At 36.1% G+C, this 20,064-nt stretch overlaps 1 protein-coding gene across 12 annotated transcripts in view, besides 1 other annotated feature; it reads left to right on the plus strand.

Annotated features, from left to right (window-relative positions):
- Positions 1-20,064, plus strand: part of AFG1L (AFG1 like ATPase) — a 230,948-nt gene that overhangs the window by 117,353 nt on the left and 93,531 nt on the right. Inside the window, exons 8-9 of one of the 12 annotated variants that reach the window (XR_007059229.1) lie at positions 13,557-13,692; positions 14,125-14,153. The exons of 10 other annotated variants lie outside the window; for them this stretch is intronic. Coding sequence is in view for 1 of the 2 variants with exons in the window: in XM_011535659.4 (XP_011533961.1) it covers positions 13,557-13,595 (39 nt within the window). In the remaining variant the exon portion in view is untranslated. Of the gene's footprint in view, positions 1-13,556; positions 14,104-14,124; positions 14,154-20,064 lie in introns of those variants that run through there. One more of the 12 variants, XM_011535659.4, reaches the window with a different exon arrangement.
- Positions 7,586-7,786: a silencer, noted in NCBI's record as "peak6014 fragment used in MPRA reporter construct". NCBI's record gives its function as "represses an SCP1 promoter by STARR-seq MPRAs in K562 erythroleukemia cells {active_cell/tissue: K562}" and the evidence as "EXISTENCE:reporter gene assay evidence [ECO:0000049][PMID:32103011]".

The following is a 20,064-nucleotide window of genomic DNA, read 5'->3' on the forward strand; positions in this document are numbered from 1 at the left end:
ACAGAGAACGCCACAAAGATACTCCTCGAGAAGAGCAACTCCAAGACACGTAATTGTCAGATTCACCAAAGTTGAAATGAAGGAAAAAATGTTAAGGGCAGCCAGAGAGAAAGGTTGGGTTACCCACAAAGGGAAGCCCATCAGACTAACAGCGGATCTCTCAGCAGAAATCCTTCAAGCCAGAAGAGAGTGGGGGCCAATATTCAACATTCTTAAAGAAAAGAATTTTCAACCCAGAATTTTATATCCAGCCAAACTAAGCTTCATAAGTGAAGGAGAAATAAAATCCTTTACAGACAAACAACTGCTGACAGGTTTTGTCACCACCAGGCCTGCCCTAAAAGAGCTCCTGAAGGAAGCACTAAACATGGAAAGGAACAACTGGTACCAGCCACTGCAAAATCATGCCAAATTGTAAAGACCATCAAGGCTAGGAAGAAACTGCATCAACTAATGAGCAAAATAACCAGCTAACATCATAATGACAGGATCAATTTCACACACAACAATATTAAACTTAAATGTAAATGGGCTAAATGCTCCAATTAAAAGACACAGACTGGCAAATTGGATAAAGATTCAAGACCCATCAGTGTGTTGTATTCAGGAAACCCATCTCAGGTGCAGAGACACACATGGGCTCAAAATAAAAGGATGGAGGAAGATCTACCAAGCAAATGGAAAACAAAAAAAAAGCAGGGGTTGCAATCCTAGTCTCTCATAAAACAGACTTTAAACCAACAAAGATCAAAAGAGAGCAAGAAGGCCATTACATAATGGTAAAGGGATCAATTCAAAAAGAAGAGCTAACTATCTTAAATATGTATGCACTCAATACGGGAGCACCCAGATTAATAAAGCAAGTCCTTAGAGACCTACAAAGAGACTTAGACTCCCACATAATAATAATGGGAGACTCTAACACCCCACTGTCAACATTAGACAGATCAACAAGACAGAAAGTTAGCAAGGATATCCAGGAACTGAACTCAGCTCTGCACCAAGCAGACCTAATAGACATCTACAGAACTCTCCACCCCAAATCAACAGAATATACATTGTTCTCAGCACCACATCACACTTATTCCAAAATTGACCACATAGTTGGAAGTAAAGCACTCCTCAGCAAATGTAAAAGAACAGAAATTACAACAAACTGTCTCTCAGACCACAGTGCAATCAAACTAGAACTCAGGACTAAGAAACTCACTCAAAACCACTCAAGTACATGGAAACTGAACAACCTGCTCCTGAATGAACTACTGGGTACATAACAAAATGAAGGCAGAAATAAAGATGTTCTTTGAAACCAACGAGAACAAAGACACAACATACCAGAATCTCTGGGACACATTCAAAGCAGTGTGTAGAGGCAAATTTATAACACTAAATGCCCACAAGAGAAAGCAGGAAAGATCTAAAATTGACACCCTACCATCACAATTAAAAGAACTAGAGAAGCAAGAGCAAACACATTCAAAAGCTAGCAGAAGGCAAGAAATAACTAAGAACAGCGCAGAACTGAAGGAGATAGAGACACAAAAAAAACCCTTCAAAAAAATCAATGAATCCAGGAGCTTATTTTTTGAAAGGATCAACAAAATTGATAGACCACTAGCAAGACTAATAAGGAAGAAAAGAGAGAAGAATCAAATAGACACAATAAAAAATGATAAATGGGACATCACCACCGATCCCACAGAAATACAAACTACCATCAGAGAATACTATAGACACCTCTATGCAAATAAACTAGAAAATCTAGAAGAAATGGATAAATTCCTGGACACATACACCCTACCAAGACTAAACCAGGAAGAAGTTGAATCCTTGTATAGACCAATAACAGGTTCTGAAATTGAGGCAAAAATTAATAGCCTACCAACCCAAAAAAGTCCAGGACCAGATGGATTCACAGCCGAATTCTACCAGAGGTACAAAGAGGATCTGGTACCATTCCTTCTGAAACTATTCCAATTAATAGAAAAAGAGGGAATCCTCCCTAATTCATTTTATGAGGCCAAAATCATCCTGATACCAAAGCCCGGCAGAGACACAACAAAAAAGAGAATTTTAGACCAATATCCCTGATGAAGATCGATGCAAAACTCCTCAATAAAATACTGGCAAACCGAATCCAGCAGCACATCAAAAAGCTTATCCACCATGATCAAGTTGGCTTCTTCCCTGGGATGCAAGGCTGGTTCAACATACACAAATCAATAAAAGTAATCCATCACATAAATAGAACCAAAGACAAAAACCACATGATTATCTCAATAGTTGCAGAAAAGGCCTTTGACAAAATTCAATAGCTCTTCTTGCTAAAAACTCTCAATAAACTAGGTATTGATGGGATGTATCTCAAAATAATAAGAGCTATTTATGACAAACCCACAGCCAATATCATACTGAATGGGCAAAACTGGAAGCATTCCCTTTGAAAACTGGCACAAGACAGGGATGCCCTCTCTCACCACTTCTATTCAACATAGTGTTAGAAGTTCTGGCCAGGGCAATCAGGCAAGGGAAAGAAATAAAGGGTATTCAATTAGGAAAAGAGGAAGTCAAATTGTCCCTGTTTGCAGATGACATGATTGTATATTTAGAAAACCCCATCGTCTCAGCCCAAAATCTCCTTAAGCTGATAAGCAACTTCAGCAAAGTCTCAGGATACAAAATCAATGTGCAAAAATCACAGGCATTCCTCTACACCAATAACAGACAAACAGAGAGCCAAATTATGAGTGAACTCCCATTCACAGTTGCTTCAAAGATAATAAAATACCTCGGAATCCAACTGACAAGGGATGTGAAGGACCTCTTCAAGGAGAACTGCAAACCACTGCTCAACTAAATAAAAGAGGACACAAACAAATTGGAAGAACATTCCATGCTCATGGATAGGAAGAATCAATATCGTGAAAATGGCCATACTGCCCAAGGTAATTTATAGATTCAATGCCACCCCATCAAGCTACCAATGACTTTCTTCACAGAATTGGAAAAGACTACTTTAAAGTTCATATGGAATCAAAAAAGAGCCCACATTGCCAAGACACCCTAAGCCAAAAGAACAAAGCTGGAGGCATCACGCTACCTGACTTCAAACTATACTACAAGGCTACAGTAACCAAAACAGCATGGTGCTGGTACCAAAACAGATATACAGACCAATGGAACAGAATAGAGCCCCCGGGAATAATTCCACACATCTGCAACCATCTGATCTTTGAGAAACCTGACAAAAACAAGAAATGGGGAAAGGTTTCCCTATTTAATAAATGGTGCTGGGAAAACTGGCTAGCCATATGTAGAAAGCTGAAACTGGATCCCTTCCTTACACCTTATACAACAATTAATTCAAGATGGATTAAAGACTTAAATGTTAGACCTAAAACCATAAAAACCTAGAAGAAAACCTAGGCAATACCATTTAGGACATAGGCATGGGCAAGGACTTCACGTCTAAAACACCAAAAGCAATGGCAACAGAAGCCAAAATTGACAAATGGGATCTAATTAAACTTAAAGAGCTTCTGCACAGCAAAAGAAACTACCATCAGAGTGAACAGGCAACCTACAGAATGGGAGGAAATTTTTGCAATCTACTCATCTGACAAAGGGCTAATATCCAGAATCTACAAAGAACTCAAACAAATTTACAAGAAAAAGTCAAACAACCCCATCAAAAAGTGGGTGAAGGATATGAACAGACACTTCTCAAAAGAAGACATTTATGCAACCAACAGACACATGAAAAAATGCTCATCATCATTGGCCACGAGAGAAATGCAAATCCAAACCACAAAGAGATACCATCTCATACCAGTTTTAGAATGGCAATCATTAAAAAGTCAGGAAACAACAGGTGCTGGAGAGGATGTGGAGAAATAGGAATGCTTTTACACTGTTGGTGGGACTGTAAACTAGTTCAACCATTGTGGAAGACAGTGTGGCGATTCCTCAAGGATCTAGAACTAGAAATACCATTTGACACAGCCATCCCATTACTGGGCATATACCCAAAGGATTATAAATCATGCTGCTATAAAGACACATGCACACATATGTTTATTGCAGCACTATTCACAAGAGCAAAGACTTGGAACCAACCCAAATGTCCATCAATGATAGACCGGATTAAGAAAATGTGGCACATATACACCATGGAATACTATGCAGCCATAAAAAAGGATGAGTTCATGTCCTTTGTAGGGACATGGATGAAGCTGGAAACCATCATTCTGAGCAAATTATCATAAGGACAGAAAACCAAACACTGCATGTTCTCACTCATAGGTGGGAATTGAACAATGCAAACACTTGGACACAGGGTGAGGAACATCACACACTGGGGCCTGTCATGCGGTGTGGGGAGAGGGGAGGGATAGCATTAGGAGATATACCTAATGTAAATGACGAGTTAATGGGTGCAGCACACCAACTTGGCACATGTATAGATAGGTAACAAACCTGCATGTTGTGCACATGTACCCTAGAACTTAAAGTATAATAATAATAATAAATAAATAAATAAAGGGGCCTGGGCTGGGTGTGGTGGCTCAGACCTGTAATCCCAGTGCTTTGGGAGACTGAGGTTGGAGGATTGCTTGAGGAGTTTGAGATCAGCCTGGGCAACATGGCAAGACCTCATCTCTACAAAAAAATAAAAAATTTAGTCAGGCATGGTGGTGCATGCCTGTGGTCCCAGCTACTTAGGAAGCTGAGGTGGGAGGATTGCTTGAGCCCAGGAGTTCCAGGCTGCAGTAAGCCACGATTGCACCACTGGATTCCAGCGTGGGCGACAGAGCAAGACATTGTCTTAAACACACACACACACACACACACACAGACACGCACACACACACACACACACACAAAAAAAAAACGGGGAAAAAAAGAAAAAGAAAAGGGGCCCTGACCCACACTGGCAGTTTGAGTGGAGGAGGTAGCACATGTCAGGAGTATTTTTCCAAAGAGCCGATGATGCTTAAACTGAGACTTAAAAGACAATTAAGTTACCAAGAAAAGTGGGAAAGGACGTTTACCATGCAGGGAAAAGACATAGAAGTATGAGAACTGTAATTAAAAATTTTATTTTCAGTAATCAGTTCATTGAGAAAAATAATTTTCATAAAATAACTGTCACTAGTCTGTTTACTTGAGGTTGGCAGATTTATTTAAAACTCAGATTTTTCTCCAAATAAAAGCAAGATATGTTTTGTATTGTATTTAAATAGAAAAATTTAGGTAATTCTTTTTCTCTTGGTTGTAATTGTAATAATTGTGCCTCCTTCAATAAGTCTGTACTTTAACTTGAAATTTCCTTCTGATCATATGACATAGTATCTTTATTTTACCAATATTAATAAAACTTAGGTAATTCTCCTAAAGTATAAGAACAAATATAATTGTTTTATTTTATTTTATTTATATTTTTTTGAGATGGAGTCTCACTCTGTCGCCCAGGCTGGAGTGCAGTGGTGCAATCTCGGCTCACTGCAAGCTCCACCTCCCGGGTTCACGCCATTCTGCTGCCTCAGCCTCCCGGGTAGCTGGGACTACAGGTGCCTGCCACCACGCCAGCTAATTTTTTGTATTTTTAGTAGAGACGGGGGTTCATCATGTTAGCCAGGATGGTCTCAATTTCCTGACTTCAAGATCCACCTGCCTCGGCCTCCCAAAGACAAATATAATTGTTAAAGCATTTGTTGGTATCTATATAGCATCATTTTATAAAGTTAAAGGCATTCATTTTACCCTCTGCACTGAAAGTATTTTAAAGTAGCCTGTGATAGTTTATACCAGGGTGGACAAACTATAGCCAGTGGCCAAATCTGGCCTGCTGCCTGTTTTTATAAATCAAGTTTTATTGAAAAATTTTATGCTCATATATTTATGTATTACCTATGGCTCTTTTTGGAGTACAGTTGCAGAGTTGAGTGGCTGCAGTGGAGACTTACGGCTTTCAAAGCCTAACATATTTAGTATCTGACCCTTTACAGGAAGTTTGCTGGCCCTGATCTATATAATATACAAAGGGCAAACAATTGCTTAAAACGACATATGTCAATAGCACCTTTTTTTTCTATGAAGTATGACTTGTTTTATGTGATGAAAATCCTGTGTCAGCATAGATTTATTAGTAGGTCTTGGAGAAAGGGGCATTCCAAGAGCTTGCTGGATAAATGGTTGATCGAAGGGAGGAAGCTTGGTGAGTGAACCAAAAGCAAAGATAGTGATTCGGTATCAATTTCAGATAATTTAGTAACTTGAGAAATATCAGCTTTGTTAGGATCAACTTTCTTAGAAATATCTTCAATTTCATACATTTAAAAGGAATAATATATCTTAAATGTACATTCACTGAACAATATTTATGGAGTATAATCTCACTGCATTTGTAAACATTATTTAAAATTAGTGTGGTTAAAAGGAAAAGGGAACCAGTTGATATTTTGAACAGAAGAATAGTTTATTAGGTTACTTTCAATTTACTATTACTAGCCTTCTTGAAGATTAGATTGCCTGGCAAGCATTGCTATTCTCATCTGATCAAGGTCCAGCAATTCATGATATTTTACACAAATTTTTCCATTTGGGTAAAAATCTGTCTGTTTACTCCATCACTTACACTTTCATAAACCATTTAGTTTGTTTCATTCCATAATGAACCCTAAAAGAGATAAATGCTATTCATAAGTTTTAAGGTTAAAAAAATTTTCAATGTGAATTTCATTAGCTTTCTTTTTATGATTTTCTTAATCAGTTTAACAGTGTGAAATAATCTAAAATAATCTCCCCAGGGGAAATGTTCCTGTGCAAGATTGTATGTAGTGTTTTTGCACACAATGATAGATCTTAATATCAGTAATTTAGCACTTTGATTCTCATTCACAATGACAGCTTAGCATGCTATCTTCTTTCTTAACTTTTAAATTTCTTCTTAAAATTAAATGTTTGATGATTAGATTACTGAATGATAACTAAACTGGTGAAAAATAACCAACAAGGCATTCTACAATAGAATTTTCTCTTGATGAATTTCAGATGGTTCGATTAGAGAAAAATAATTCCAGCATTAACTCTTATAAATATGAATTTTCCTTTTCCTAATAAAGAGTTGCCCATTTGGAAGGCATCACTATCTGATTTATTTGTTCGGTTTAAATATGTAACATAAAGAAGTGATACTTTATAATGTGAGGTAGTAACAATTTTGTTCTTATTATTGCTACTTTTGTAATTTGTTTAATGTTCAGGTAATGACATCATATCTTTTACTTGGTTGTTCATGTTTCTTGACTGTTGTGCATCCTTTACATAAAACTTAAAAAAATTAAGTGATATATTAGTTTTTATGTTTTTATTTCCTGAGAAAATTTTTCCAATGATAAGAAAATTTTTCCTGATAGTAAACTAGAATATTCCCATGGTGTGATTTCCAGCTACAAACTTTAGAAAACTTGTTTGATTATAACCCTTAGATAAAATGCTTCAGTGTTCAGCCTTTGTCCAGCCATCTGCATTAGGATTTATAGACTTGCTAAATAAATGTATATTTGCCATTTTTCCTGCCACAGTTTTCATTTCATTGGTGAAATTGATTTGTCAGTTTGTTCATTGTAACTTTCAATACCAGAGCTTTCAGAGTGCTAAATAATCAGAATCAGCCTTTGAGGTCAGTGTCAGTCAGCCTCTATGACCTCTACTGCGTTGTCACCTGAGTCAGCCTTGCAGGGATTAACCCTTTGTTAGTGTGATAATGTCTTTACTTATGAGTTGGCTTTTTAATACTTAAGATTGAAAGAAACAAAAGACAGAACAAAAGTAGCAGACAACTCCTGAATTGGAAAGAGTTGTTGCTTTCCCCCACAAACTGTATGTGGTAAAATATTTCTAAAATTATCAAGTTTTAGTCTAAGTCTAGGAAATCTACCCAAGATATTTTATTAAATTTATTTAATTTATTAAATTAAATAAAAATATATTTTTATTTTATTAAAAAATAAAAATATATTTAATATTAAATATATTAAAACATATATTCCATATATGTTTGGAAAAATTTATTTAAGAAAATTGGCTGTAGTAACAGGCACTAAAGTTTTATTTGTAATGGTGTTTTTGTGCTGTGTCGTTGCAATTAATAAATATCTAAGATGAAAATGGTTGTGATGTGGATTTAAAATACAGTCCTTTTCCATCTTCATAACAGAATGTAGACCTTGTATTAGTCAGGGCCTATCTATAGAAAAGTAATTTTAGGTGTATGCCTTTTAAAATATTTTCTCTAATTATCTCATATAAAATAAAAATAAAGATTTTTCGCGACATATGTAAATTATATATTTGTAGTTATCTGGAAAAAAACAAGCTATTGCTTACATGTAAAATATATACTGTTTAGGACTTGAATTCTCTTCTCTTAGAACAATAAATAGTTATTTTTGGTTAAATCACAAGATATCAATTATTTGATGACAAAAATGGCTTAAAGGAAGTGTGTCTTAAATATGGATTAGCTAGTTCTTTGAATGATGAGATAAATTAGTTTAATTACACGTGGCAATTTTCTTGGCTAGTGATGTAATGTGAAATAAAATTCTCCCTTTCCCCTCCCTGAAAACTCAAGCCAATTAATAGAACTTTTAAGCTCTTTGTCATAGGCCACCATGGAGGTCTGCAGAGAAGAACTTTAATCCAATAAACATTTCATTTAGATCATGAAAAGAAAGCATGAGGAGAAGCTCCTGTAAGAGAGGGTGTTACTATGATTCCAACCATGAAGAGATGTGAGGAATTTGCCAAATTAACCAAGAGGTCCTCATATTGAACGCATAAATGTGTCAAAACTAACAGAATCATTATTTAATTTGCTTGAACTCTATATTGAGGAAACTCTAAAAAGCCACAACTGTTTTCTTCAAAGCCTTCACTGTTGGGCTGGATGGACAGGGCAAAGGGAGGTTGTGAGAAATCCAGATACCAAATAACACTGGCCGAAGCTGGTCAGAAAAGGGAATAGATAATTAGGCGTAATTAGCGTGTATGAATCGTTGTCTCTCTGCCCTTAGCTTGAATAAATTTTGAAGAAAAAAACCCTAGTGGTGAAAATCCTTTGATGTAGGAAGAGTCATTGTGGCTTGGCAGCATAAAGGCAGTGTTTTATACTTTTTACATAATGGTTGTGATACAGACAGAGTGAATGGACCCTGCACCCCCCCTGTCTGCTTTAGACCAAGGACTTTTGGATTCTCTTGAAACAAAATGCATCACAAGTTTTCAGTTGTTCGTAATGAGGTAGCGGACCTCATCAGGGCTCAGAGGAAGCCATCTTTAGCTTTTGTTTAAACCTTAATCTCAGTTTTTTTTCTTTCTGGGAAATCTGTTTTCTTAAATCAACACTTCTTTTTTCTTCTTTGCTTGCACCTCCAATAAGAGATGGGAATCATGCTTAAGAAAGCTAAATGGAAAAGTTAAACAAAAATTATCACATAAAAGATGTATGCATTTTTTAATCCCACATGAAAAAGATGCTTGCTATATTCCCTTTTGCCTTTAAATCAGTAACATTCTAGTAAAGTTGTTTTATAATAGAAAATATAAGAAAACATATAGGGAATAATTTTAGATTGTTTTTGGAAAGAACTTGTTTTCAAATTGAAATTATACAAAGTAAAATGGTAAGTAGGTTACTGTTTCACAGAATTTAAGTTTTTAAGTGGAAATCAGTTTGGTTAAAAATATTAGTAGCTTTACTGCAAACTTTGTTTATGCAAGAGGCATAGTTAAAACATAGGTTTGAGAACCTGTGTCCAGAATAGTTAATTTGTCCGATATCCACTACTGGGAAGTCAAGAAATTATTCTTGAGAAAGCATTGCATTTATTCTGAGGCAGGTGGATTACTTGAGCTCAGGAGTTTGAGAAAGCATTGCATTTATTTTGAAATTTTCTGAAGCACTGAAACAATAAGTCACCTAAAATGCAGTTATCAACTTTTTCTGGCAGTTGAATTATGTTCACTTTGTCTATCCAAAATATTTTTTTAAAATTAGTCCTCAGCAAAAAAAAAAAAAAAAAAAAAAGAAGAAGAAATGCTCTATTTCAGAATCTAAAGTAAATCAAGTATTTTGTTGGGGGAAGGAGGTGCTGAAATAATTTGTATATTATCCTCAATATCAGAATAGCATCTCTAAGTAAGTTTTATAATTCTGATAAATGTTCAATCTCTTTATTAGCTACTTTGAAACTACGTTTAAAAAAATCTACCCTTCAAATACTTCAGTGCTCAGGTTTCCGTCTAATTAATATTATTCTTTTAACGTATTTTAATTATAGGACTTTCTGCAGTAGTCATCCATGATCCATTCCTTAATGTGTAATCTGTGAAGCTATTTTTATAAGCATTGCCCTGCTTTAGAGTAGTTTTACTATGACGTTTTGATTCTGGATAGACTTCTTTCAAGCCACAATGCTCTGAGATGCTTTTGGCTACTTAACCCATTTTGCATATTGTGCCATTTGTAGAATAAAGTAGCCTTTTATACTTGAAGTTGATTTGAACTCTGAAAGGCAACACCTGAACATCTCACAAAACTGGATAATTATGGCTGATTGTGTTTTTCAGGTATAGGTCACAGGAAATTCATTTGGGGTAAAGTATGCACAAAGCTAAGAAATATGCAGATTTTCTGTTGTAGGACTGTGTAAAAATTATTTACAGTTAATACTTGCATAAAGGTTAGAAAGGTTGATGAAGTGATATTTAGTTTTGCTTTACTATTCACTGCATGTCAGAATGTAATTATGACTGATTCATGAAACTGTCTTAGAAACGAACCATCTTTATTAAAATGCTGATCAAGATAAGAGCTGACAGTAATAAAGAATAGAACATTTTAGTCTTGTTGCTTTTGAATGATTGCTAATTACCCCAGAGGTCATGTATAGTGCTTGGTAGGATTCATTGACATTATTTCTTTTAAGTCTGCTGTTTCAACAACATCTGAGCATGAAGACACAAACTGTGTGCACATTGAACAATAGTTTGGCTTAAGTTTTTAGGGCTTCAAGATATCTAAGAAATCTTCTTCTGCCATAGTGAATTTAGTTTTTCTGTATCAAAATTATATTATATTAGGGGTGCTTGGTACAAAATACATTGTATATTTATTTACTATTGACTGTATCTACACCTCCCATTTTTAAGTTGCGTTAAATAGTATATATAGGTTATTGGGACAGTGTCACCTCTAAATATATACACAAGCATATACAAGTAATAAGAACAAAATGAGTACTAACATTTAAGTTAGAATACATAAAAGGACTTATTAATGTGTAATCAGAATATACTCATCAGAATATACAATTTGAACACTAACTACTGATAGTTTGGTTTTTATTAAATGTGAACTTTGTAATTTGTCTCTAAATGTATGTGGAAATCCTTATCATGTATTCCTTAGCCAATTATGATTGATAGGATTCATGTATTATAAATACATAGTTGATTAACTGAATAAACTCTGACATACTGTTTAAAATAACTTAAATCTTTATAATTATTAACTGAAAGTAGAAGAATGTGGAATATATATGTAATATGCATGCATGTATGTGTGTGTGTTAGTATATGTATATATACAAACTACACAATCACATCACACTTTTCTTTTTTTCTGGTTTCCATGATGTAACAGAAAAATCAATGGGATGAGAAGGCAATCTTTGTGGACCTGGCTCTGTCACTGACTTTGCTCTGTCACTGGCAAGCCTCTTAAACCTGTGTGAGCTCATTTCCTCTGTAAATGATGGGATTGGACTACAAGGTTGCTAAGGCTCTCATGAAGCTATTTATTTTCAAAAAGATTAAGTTTCAGAAGTTTACTTATAAATTATTTCTTTTAAACTATGATAGATTTCTCCCTCAAATAGTGTTCTAAATATGATAATAAAGTCTTAGGCTACCTAGTCTACAAAAGCCTAATTGCCCCAAATAGCTCATATTATTATACTCTTGTAAAATGAAGTAGAAGAAAGCAATAGTTAGATTTCAACATGCATTTACGAAGGGCTTAGTCATTGGGGTTACAATGATAAATGTGTTACTGAGTTGAATCCTGCCATCAGGGAAATTAGGATGTTCTAGTAGGGGAAGTAGACAAAAAATGATTATTATATAGCATATAAAAATATTATAATGTTAGAGATATATTGTAATATATATAATAGAGAATGAGTTAGAAGTGGTTAGCTGTGTGGTGGGAGGTTATAATACTAGCAATTATGTAAATTGCAATATATTAAATTAAAAGCACAACTTTTAAATACGTTTTCTCCCTCTGTGATGCTGGTAATTGTGGAGGAGGAAAGGATGAGATAGTAATGTTTGTGAATTTTGAAAGGACTCCTGTATGTGTTTACAAGTTTCAGAGGTTGATGAAACTGGAGTTTTGTTTTGCCTTTTGTTTTCTTTATATAAATGTATCACTGCCATCACTCTTGGTTTAATAGTCATGCTTATGATACTGGAATGAAATGGAGATTTCCTAAGAAAACTGGACAAAGCTTAGAAGGGAGACAGAAAGAGCAGAGGAAGAAAGCTAAAAATGTTTCAGTGTATACAGAAGAAGTTACCTGACGTAGAACTGAATAAGTTATGCATAGTGACAGCTGAGAAATACAGAGCAAGGCATATGTAGAAACTCTTTTTGAGGGTGGGCAGTGGGAAAGGGATGGCACTCTAGGTTGTAACCAGAGGTTAAGAGAGCCTTTTTAACTCCTGGAATGTCACTGTGTGTAGAAGGCAGAATACAAACAGAGGGTTACACATGGTAGACATTTTATAATTTAAGAATGCTTGTAAATAAGGATGGTTGTTCACACTTTTTAAAAACTGGTATAGCATTGACAGACCAAACATAGCAGATGCTGGGTTGTGATCAGTTGCCCCATACTGGTGTATGCTAGTGAGTACCAGCCTTACCTATAAATAGTGTATGTGTGTGTGTGTGTGTATGTGTATACTCACAGAATTTGAAGGCTCTTTAGAAACACTTATCCCACCACCTTATTATACAGTGGAGGCGACTGAGGCTCATGCCTGAGATCATCTTACCTAAGATTGCCTGGATAGCAGCAGAGCCAGGTCTACAATCCAGATTTCCTAGTTTTTATTGAGAGCTCTTTCCGCCAAACCATGTTGCACAATATGTGTGTGTGTATGTGTATGTATGAAGACATATATACATACACATATATACATATATTCACTATATTTACATATTGCATACCTTATTGTCTTTAGGTGGAATTAATTATATTCCCAATTGCTCTTATTGATAAGGAACTCTTTATCTTTCTTTTATATAAAAGTATAATCTATCTTATTAATCTAGCTTTAGTCATACACAATGGTAAGTTAAATATAGTGATATCCAGATACTGTTTTAGATAATAGCTTAAAATTTACTCTTCAGATCTTTTATCAGCGATAACAATTGACTATTGTTAAGAGTGACTAAATTTGTCTCTTTTCATCTTCAGATAAAGGTACTAATAAGCAGTGAAATGACAAAAAGTTGAGCAAATACAATGAAGAAAGAACAGAACCAAAGTTTAGAATATTTATAAATGCTATCCTGGATACTAAAACTCTAAATAATGAAGCCTCTGTAAATGGGTAGGGGTCATTTTTTAAGCTAAATATTTTATTGAGATATTCTTTTTCTTGGTTATTCCAGAGTGGTAATTACAGTGTAAATGAATCATATGCCTTATGGGCTTTGTGTAATTATAGTGCACTTTTTTTTTTAGTTAGAAAAGTTATGCTTACCTATGATTATTTATACAGAAGAAGAAAAAATCTTGTGGGTAAATTTACTGGATGTTGAAAAACTAATTTTGCAAAGCTGCATGTATAGTGGGAACTTCCTATTAGCTTGAAGCTGTATTGCATAGTTCCTTTCTGTGGGAGAAAATTAAAGCTTACAGGAGCTGCAGTTGTGTGTTTGGTAGTATAGTTATAAAAAAGATCCTCAAAAAGTGCACATTTCAACTTCTTTGCAGCCTGTGGTGTGCCACTCTTCTACTTTTCTTTTCTTTTTCTCCCTAGGAATGAGGACTCTGATTTTCTTGGATAAGGTAAACAGTGGGAGAAGAATGGAATATTAATTAAAATTCTGTTTGTTATGACAGAGTTGGAAATGTATAATGGATGTGATTTCCATAAGACAGCTATCAGCTTTTTCCCAGCACCAGCACCAGTCTTTGGGGACAATACTCAAAGATCTTTCCTTTTGTAAATTTTCATAAGAGTTAAATGAATGCATGATAGGCTAACAAATGCCAACATCACATAAATATATAAACTAAATATTAAAACTCCCCCTTCACCACTCTTCCCTCTTCCCATCCCTCCTCCACCTTCTACTCCACCTCATTCCTACTTCCCTCCCCAGGAGTAGCCACTATTAAAAATTTAGTTTGTATCTTTTCAAGCATTTTTCTTTACATTTATGTGCATACATATCTATATATATGTCCAAACATATAGTTTTGTTTTGTTGTAAGTTAATGAGGGTAATATATATACCTTAGTCTGAGTTATACTTTTATCCCCAGAGATATCCTAAAGATCTTTTGATATTAGATATAATTCAATCTCATTTTTAATTTTTTAATTTTTATTTATTTATCTTTTTGGAGACGGTGTCTTTCCCTATTGCCCAGGCTAGAGTGCAGTGGTGTGATCATAGCTCACTACAGACTCCATCTCCTGGGCTCAAGTGATCCTTCTGCCTCAGCCTTCTGAGTAGCCAGGACTACACACTTGGCTAACTTTTTTATTTTCTGTAGAGATGGTGTCTTGCTATGTTGCCCAGGCTGGTCTCAAACCCGTGGCGTTATATAATTCTCTTACCTGCCACTCTCAGTTTTAAATGGCTGCATTATTATTTTAAAACTAATCTGCTATTTTTGTATACTTAGGTTTATTCTAGTTTAGTTTACTTTTAAAGTAATGCCTTAAAAATATGTTTGCAAATGTGTTTTTAGTGCATACGAGCCAATATTTCTGTAGGTTAGATTTCTCAAAATGGAATTTTTTTTTTTTTTTTTTTTTTGAGTTGGAGTCTTGCTCTGTCACCCAGGTTGGAGTGCAGTGGCATAATCTTGGCTCACTGCAAACTCTGCCTCCCGGACTCAAGCAATTCCCTTGCCTCAGCCTCCTGAGTAGCTGGGACTACAGGTGAACGCCACCATACCCGGTTAATTTTTGTATTTTTAGTAGAGACAGGGTTTCACCATGTTGGTAAGGCTGATCTTGAACTCTTGACCTCAAGTGATCCACCTACCTTGGCCTCCCAAAGTGCTGGGATTACAGGCGTGAGCCACCACCCCGGCCTCAAAATGGAATTTCTAGGTCAAAGGCTCTTGTAATTAAAACTTTGCTGGATTTTGTCATATTGCTCTTTACTTGTGTATTAGCTAACATTAAAAATTAAGTTATAAAATACATTTCTAAAAAGTTATTATATATTTGTATTTCAGTAGCTTTTGGGGTACAAGTGATTTTTGGTTACATGAATGAATTGTATAGTGGTGAAGTTTGAGATTTTAGTGTACCCATCATCTGAGTAGCATACATTGTACCCAATATGTAGTTTTTTATACTCACCCCTCTATAACCACTCCATCTTCTGAGTCTCTAATGTCCATTATATCACTGTCTATGCTTTGCATGCTGATAGCTTAGCTCCCACTTGTAAGTGGGAACATGTGGTATTTGGTTTTCTATTCCTGAGTTACTTCACTTGGAATAATGGCCTTTACCTCCATCCAAGTTGCTGCAAAAGACATTATTTAATTCTTTTTAATGGCTGAGTAGCATTCCATGGTGTATATATATACCACATTTTCTTTATCCACTCATTGGTCAGTGGGCACTTAGATTAGTTCTCCATGTTTGCAATTGTGAATTGTGCTGTGATAAACATATGCATGGAGGTGTCTTTTTGATGTAATGGTTTCTTTTCCTTTGGCTAGATACCCAATAGTGGGATTGCTGGATAGAACGGTAGATCTACTTTTAGTTCTCTGAAATCTGTATGTTATTTTCCATAGATGTTGTAGTAATTTACATTCCCACGAGCAGTGTATAAGAGTTTCCTTTTTACCACATTTACACTGACATCTATTGTTTTTTGACTTTTTAGTAATGGCCATTCTGGCTGGGGTAAGGTGGTACCTCATTGTGGTTTTAATTTGCATATCCCTGGCAGTTAGTGATACTGAGCATTTTTCCATATGTTTGTTGTCCATTTGTATATCTTCTTTTGAGAAGTGTCTATTCGTGTTATTTTTCAACTTTTGATGAGATTATTTGTTTTTTTCTTTCTGATTTGCTTGTCTTCCTTGTATATTCTGGATATTAGTCCTTGTTAGACACATAGTTTATGGGTTGTCTGTTTACTCTAATGATTATTTCCTTTGCTGTTTAGAAGCTTTTTAGTTTAGGTACCATTTATTTATTTTTGTTTTTGCTGTACTTGCTTTTGGGGTCTTAGTCATAAATTCTTTCCCTATGCCAATGTCCAGAAGAGTTTTTTCTAGGCTTTCTTCTAGAATGTTTGTGGTTTAAGTTTTCAAACCATCTTGAGTTGACTTTTGTATAAGGTAAGGGATAGGGATCCAGTTTTATTCTTCCACCTGTAGCTATCCAGTTTTCCCAGCACCATTTATTGAATAGTGTGTCCTTTCCCCAACTTATATTTTTATATGTGTATTAGTCTGTTCTCATGCTGCTAATAAAGACATACCCGAGACTAGGTAATTTATAAAGGAAAGAGGTTTGACTCACACTTCCACATGACTGGGGAGGCCTCACAATCATGGCTGAAGGCGAATGACGAGCAAAGTCATATTTTACATGGTGCCAGGCAAGAAGAACTTGTGTAGGGGAACTCTCCTTTATAAAACCATCAGATCTTGTGGAGACTTATTCACTACCACAGGAAGAACACGGGAAAGACCCATCCCCATGACTCAATTTCCTCCCACCAGGTCCTTTCCACACGTGGGAATTATGGGAGCTACAATTCAAGATGAGATTTGGGTGGGGACACAGCCAAACCATATCAGTATACTTTGTCAAAGATCAGCTAGATGTAAGCATTTGGCTTTATTTTTGGGTTCTCTGTTCTGTTCCATTGGTCTGTGTATCTACTTTTATACCAGTACCATGCTGTTTTGGTTACTATAGCCTTGCAGTATAATTTGAATCTGAGTAATGTGATACCCCCAGATTTGTTCTTTTTGTCTAGGATTGCTTTGGCTATTAGGGCTCTTTCTTGATTCCATATGAATTTAGGATTTTTTTTTCTAATTCTGTGGAAAATTGCTTTGCTGCCCAAAGCAATTCCTTTCAAAATACTGTAGTTTTTTTTGAGCAGTATGGTCATTTTCACAATATAGATTCTTCCAATCAATGAGCATGGGAGGTAGTTTCATTTGTTTGTGTCATGTTATTATGTATTTATTTATTTATTTTGAGATGGAGTCTCGCTGTGTTGCTCAGGCTGGAATGCAGTGGCACGATCTCAGCTCACTGCAACCTCCACCTCCTGGGTTCAAGCAGTTCTCCTGCCTCAGCCTCCTGAGTGGCTGGGATTACAGGTACCCGCCACAACGCCCGGCTAATTTTTGTGGTTTTAGTAGAGATAGGATTTCACCATGTTGGCCAGGCTGATCTCAAACTCCTGACCTCAAATGTTCCACCCGCCTTGGCCTCTAAAGTGCTAAATACAGGTGTGAGCCACTGTGCCCAGTCATAAGATGGTATTTTTTAAGAAGCCACATTAACCTTTCTAGAATACAGTAGGGCATATAAATAAATGACAAGAAATCATCTAAGTTGAGGTATCATACTCTGGACATTTTATTGGGTGTTGCTTATACTTATTGAATTAACAACAAGCTATTGCAAAATTATCATTACCAAAATATTTAAGGGTGGTGGAAGTTTTGAACTTTTATTCTGTGCCTTGTTCTGGACATGGGAGGTATGTGTAGTGGTTAAGAGCACATAGTCTGCAAACCTGATTTCAGCTACTGCTTCCCACACCCATGAACAGGCTTAATAACTCTAGACAGATAGAGATCAAAATACTTGATCCTTTTGAACATCAGGTAATGCATTGACAAATTGGAGCCAATGAGCCTGTCTTTAAAGAATCTTATCTTTAAAGCTATAAAATTAACTGCACAATAAATGATTGCCCTTGTTATTTTTATTCTTCTGTAACAGTGTTATAAAGATAACTGTGACTAAACATTTATTCTCTGGTTTAAAAGGCAGTGGGGCATTTTCTGTCTAACAGATAAAAACACATAAGCACTATATAGTTCCCCTTCTCTCAAATTTTACCATTTTGTAAATTGTTTGGATGAACAGAAGTAACTCTTCATATTAACATTAGGATTTTTTGTTTCATTTTCCACTCCCATGCCAAATAATTTGAATAGTATAAGGACAAGACTTCATCAATTCTTACTTGCTCGGCATCCTGGCACATAGCTATTAGAATGCAAACTAGTACCTTAGATCATTCACATCAGTTTCCTGATATGCTAATAGACCCAAGGTCTTGACCAAGTTGACAATGTTGGTACAGATTTTTATTCTTTATAATTTCTTTTTTTTTTGGAGGCGAAGTCTTGCTCATGTCACCCAGGCTGGAGTGCAGTGGCGTGATCTTGGCTCACTGCAACCTCCGCCTCCCAGGTTCAAGCGCTTCTTCTGCCTCAGCCTCCTGAGTAGCTGGGATTAGAGGCACCTGCCACCACGCCCGGCTAATTTTTGTATTTTTAGTAGAGACAGGGTTTCACCATGTTGGCCATGCTGGTCTCGAACTGCTGACCTCAGGCGATCCGCCTGCCTCAGCCTCCCAAAGTGCTGGGATTACAGGCATGAGCCACCGCGCCTGGCTATTCTTTATAATTTCTTACTGATATTCTAAAGATTACAAATACTATATTTTACAAGAGTCTGAATAATTTGTAGAAATTATTATGTCTAAGATAGAGTATGGAAGAAAAAGTAAGTCATTGGCATTCTGAACAAGACCTCTGGTGTTACACAGTAGCAGTTGCCACAGTCAGATGTTTCACCTTTCTTTGTTGCTTTTTTTTTTTTTTTTTTTTGAGACTGAGTTTTGCTGTTGTAACCCAGGCTGGAGTGCAATAGCACGATCTCAGCTCACTGCAACATCCTCTTCCCAGATTCAAGTGCCCGTGTAGCTGGGATTATAGGCGCCTGCCACCACACCTGGCTAATTTTTTGTATTTTTAGTAGAGACGGGGTTTCACCATGTTGGCCAGGCTGGTCTCGAACTCCTGACCTCAAGTGATCCACCTGCCTCGGCCTCCCAAAGTGCTGGGATTATAGGCATGAGCCATTGCGCTCAGCCCGGCCCTCACCTTTCTTTTTATAATTAGAGTGATGGTGTCTTTGAAGCACCATGGTCCTCCACAGAGTTCCAGACACTGACAGGGAGACCCTACAACTCTCTGTGCTGGTCTTCAGTGATACACTTGTAGTTCGATCTGGTATGCCATCAGGTGCCGGCGCTTTGCCTGGTTATTATTATTTTTGGTTCTAAGTACTTTGAAAATATTTTTAGTGACATATCCAGAAAGTCTTTGTTTCAGAGGGAGATTGGTATGTTCCAAATCATAGTGGTCCTCAAAAAGATAAAAATGTCACCTTATTTACAATATGGGTTGGAAACCCAACTGTATAACTTACGGTCATCTGGTTTGAGATGTTGAAATGTCTAACTGAATAATCTGTAGTATCTCACCACCCAGGACTTCTTCTACCCCTTCTGTACATTCTTATGTGTTTTCTCAAGCCCTCTTTAAACTACTTCAGCTTTGGAACACTTCCTTAGCTTTACCAGTCCTTTGTTTCCACAGTACCCTACTCTTCTCAGTTTATTCAAATAGTTCTGGACTACTCATATACTTTTATGTCCTTTACCCCCATTGCGGAGTA

Source organism: Homo sapiens, chromosome 6, assembly GCF_000001405.40.
Source record: "Homo sapiens chromosome 6, GRCh38.p14 Primary Assembly".
NCBI lineage: Eukaryota > Metazoa > Chordata > Mammalia > Primates > Hominidae > Homo > Homo sapiens.